At 61.2% G+C, this 2,661-nt stretch overlaps 2 annotated features.

Annotated features, from left to right (window-relative positions):
* Nucleotides 269-1,161: an enhancer, noted in NCBI's record as "H3K27ac-H3K4me1 hESC enhancer chr4:3822771-3823663 (GRCh37/hg19 assembly coordinates)". NCBI's record gives its function as "activates a minimal SCP1, AML or CMV promoter by ChIP-STARR-seq in naive H9 embryonic stem cells {active_cell/tissue: H9 hESC(naive)}" and the evidence as "EXISTENCE:reporter gene assay evidence [ECO:0000049][PMID:30033119]".
* Nucleotides 1,162-2,053: an enhancer, noted in NCBI's record as "H3K4me1 hESC enhancer chr4:3821879-3822770 (GRCh37/hg19 assembly coordinates)". NCBI's record gives its function as "activates a minimal SCP1, AML or CMV promoter by ChIP-STARR-seq in naive H9 embryonic stem cells {active_cell/tissue: H9 hESC(naive)}" and the evidence as "EXISTENCE:reporter gene assay evidence [ECO:0000049][PMID:30033119]".

The raw sequence follows: 2,661 nt of genomic DNA, 5'->3' as shown, positions 1-2,661 counted from the left end.
GCATGGGGCAGCCTCCCTGGGGTCCAAGGGAGGAGCAGCAGCTTCAGCCCAGGCCCAGGGGGATGAGGCTTCAGGCAGGACCTGCGTGGGGGTGTCCAGGCTGAGAGAGCAGCCTTTGAGGTAATCAAGCTCGCATTTTTACTTGGTTACTTCATTCCTGTTAGGAAGCCACTGAGAGACCATGGGCTGTGCTAGGGACTGGGCCTGCCGCACCCCCTAGGCTGGCACTGGGCCTGCACCCAGGACCTCGAGAGTAAAGAGTGGCTGCTTGGCCTGGACTTGGGGAGCTGCCGATGAGATGGGGGAGGGGCACTTCCAAAGCAGCAGGTGCCTTTGTCAGACTCCAGGCCCCCGAGCCAAAGCCTGGTCACTGAGGACACAGCCCTGCCTTTCCCTGCCCCAGGGAGCCCACACCCCACCTCCTGCACAGGCGTACCACCCCAGTGGCCAGCCTGGCCCCTGCTGAGACCACATCAGTGCCCCTGCCTGCCCCAGCCCTGCTGAGACTGCTCCAGCGCCCGTGCCTGCCCCAGTCTGTGTCGCTCCATCAGCCAGACCTGCCCACAGCCTCCCCTGCCCGCTACGCTCCAGGCCACAGAAAGCAGCCTCCACCGTCCGCAGCCTCTGAGGGCAGCCTCGGGCTCAGGCCCCTGCTGTGTCCCCTGTGTCGGTCCAGCTCCTTCCCTGAGGCAGCTCCCCCATGTGTCCCACTGACGCCACATGCTCCACAGGCCATGCTGAGCTCACCATCCCCCAGACCCCACCCTGGCCCCTTCCTGGCTGACGCTTCTCCATCCTCACACTGTTCAAGCCAGAAATCTGCCTCACCCTCCGCCTCACGCCATCCATCTGCAGACCCCACCGGTGATGTTCCTTAAACGTCTCTGGACTGCCCTAACCCCACGCCCGGTGCCTCTGCCCAGTCCAGGCCTTTTCACCACCACCCAGCACATCCCTGCGTCCTCCTGATGCCGCCATCAGTCTCACACCCAACCCACCTTCGTGCTTCTGTTGGACCTGACCCAGACCGCCCCCTCTCTAAATTCCTCCACGGCTCCCCAGCACCCTCAGCAAGCTCTGCACCCCTGGCCTGTGCTCCGGCTCTCCGTGCCCTGTCCCTGCCGGCCCTTCAGCTTCCCGAGCCTGTCCCGGCAGTGGCCTCCCTGCAGTTCTCCCAGCACACCTGCTGTCCCTTTCCTCGAGCATCCCCTGCCCCCTCTTCTTGCTGGTTATTTCCTTATTGTTGACAATCCAGCTCAAGGTCTTGGCCTCCGGGAAGTTCCCTCCTGGGTGGGTCTTCCCTTTCTGTGCACTCCCAGGGCCCGGGCCCCTCCTGTCGCACCTGTGCTGAGAGTGAGGGGGACTGGCCTGATCCACCCCCATCCCAACATGCCCCACACATGCTGGGCCTGGGGACGGTGGCTCTGTAGATTTGGGTCCTGTTGGACCTGTGTCCCTGGGGCCCTGAGCCAGAGGAGCAGCAGATGGAAATGTTGGGAAGGAGCGGAAGCATGTGCCGTGCACAGAGGGTGGGTGCTGCTGGGGCCAGTGAGTGCTCAGGGTCCTGCAGGTGAGGGAGGGCGCGGCTCAGGGGCCATGGCGCAGGCATGCACAGCTGCAGGTCTGCCTCTGGAATGGGAGTTCAGAGGCCCCACCCCAGCCCCAGCCCGGGCCACTCACAGTCTATCCCATCAGCTCCTCCTTTTATCTCCTTAACATAGACCTTGGTTTGTGATGCATCCTTTACTCCCTTGGGAGTTGATCATCTCCCCTGACTCCTGCATCCTTCCCTGCAGGAGTGTCCCTAAGGTTGATGGACCAGTGGGGGCCCAGGACCTCCCAGTGCTGGAGGCAATGCCAGCTTCCACCCAAGAGAGTTCCCCCGCATGACCCCTGTGGCAGATTCAGCTGATGCTGCTCTGCGGGCTCGGCCCCCCAGCAAGGATTCTGAGGGCAGAGGTGCAGTGCTCCCACTGCGGGGTCAGTTTTGGGACCAGGTGTCTGCTGAGGATGAATCACACCTTTGAGTCTCGTCCATGTTTGATTTAGATTATATTTAGATAGAGACATTCCCCTTGGGGTAGCAGGTGCCCGGGGAGAGGGGTCCAGAGGCAGGGCAGGGACCTGAGAAAGCTGCTGTGGACTGAATCATGTCCCCCTAAAATTCACACGTTGGAGCCCTAACCCCTGATGGGACGGTGTTTGGAGAGTGGGGTGGAATGAAGGAAGGCTTTTGGGTTTTTTGGATGATGATGCTATTCAGCTGCAAATGTGGACCGTTCTTGAAGAAGACAGAAAAAATGACCCCAAGGGAATTCAGAGATCATCTGGCCACTGCCTTGATTCAGCTGGCCAGGTGGCCTTAGGTGGGACTGCCTTGCAGAGTCCTGAGGATGGGACTCTGGCCCCGCAAAGCCACGGGGGCAGGGGCCTTTCAGAGACCCGCGTGTCAAGCCTGCCTGCCGAGTGGTGCGGTGACGCTGCCTCCCCAGCGGGCCCGGAGAGCTGAGTGTGGAGCCGAAGGGGATTCTGCAGCCTTCATAGCGAATGCAATTGGCCTTGCTAAGCTGTAGACATGCGTGCCCCCCATCACTTCCTCTTTCTTTCTGATTTCTCCCTTTTGGAATGGGAATGTCTATCCCATGCCTGTCCCACCATGGC

The sequence above is a fragment of the Homo sapiens genome, chromosome 4, assembly GCF_000001405.40.
Source record: "Homo sapiens chromosome 4, GRCh38.p14 Primary Assembly".
NCBI classification, from domain to species: Eukaryota; Metazoa; Chordata; class Mammalia; order Primates; family Hominidae; genus Homo; species Homo sapiens.
This window is presented reverse-complemented; position numbering and strand designations above follow the sequence as displayed.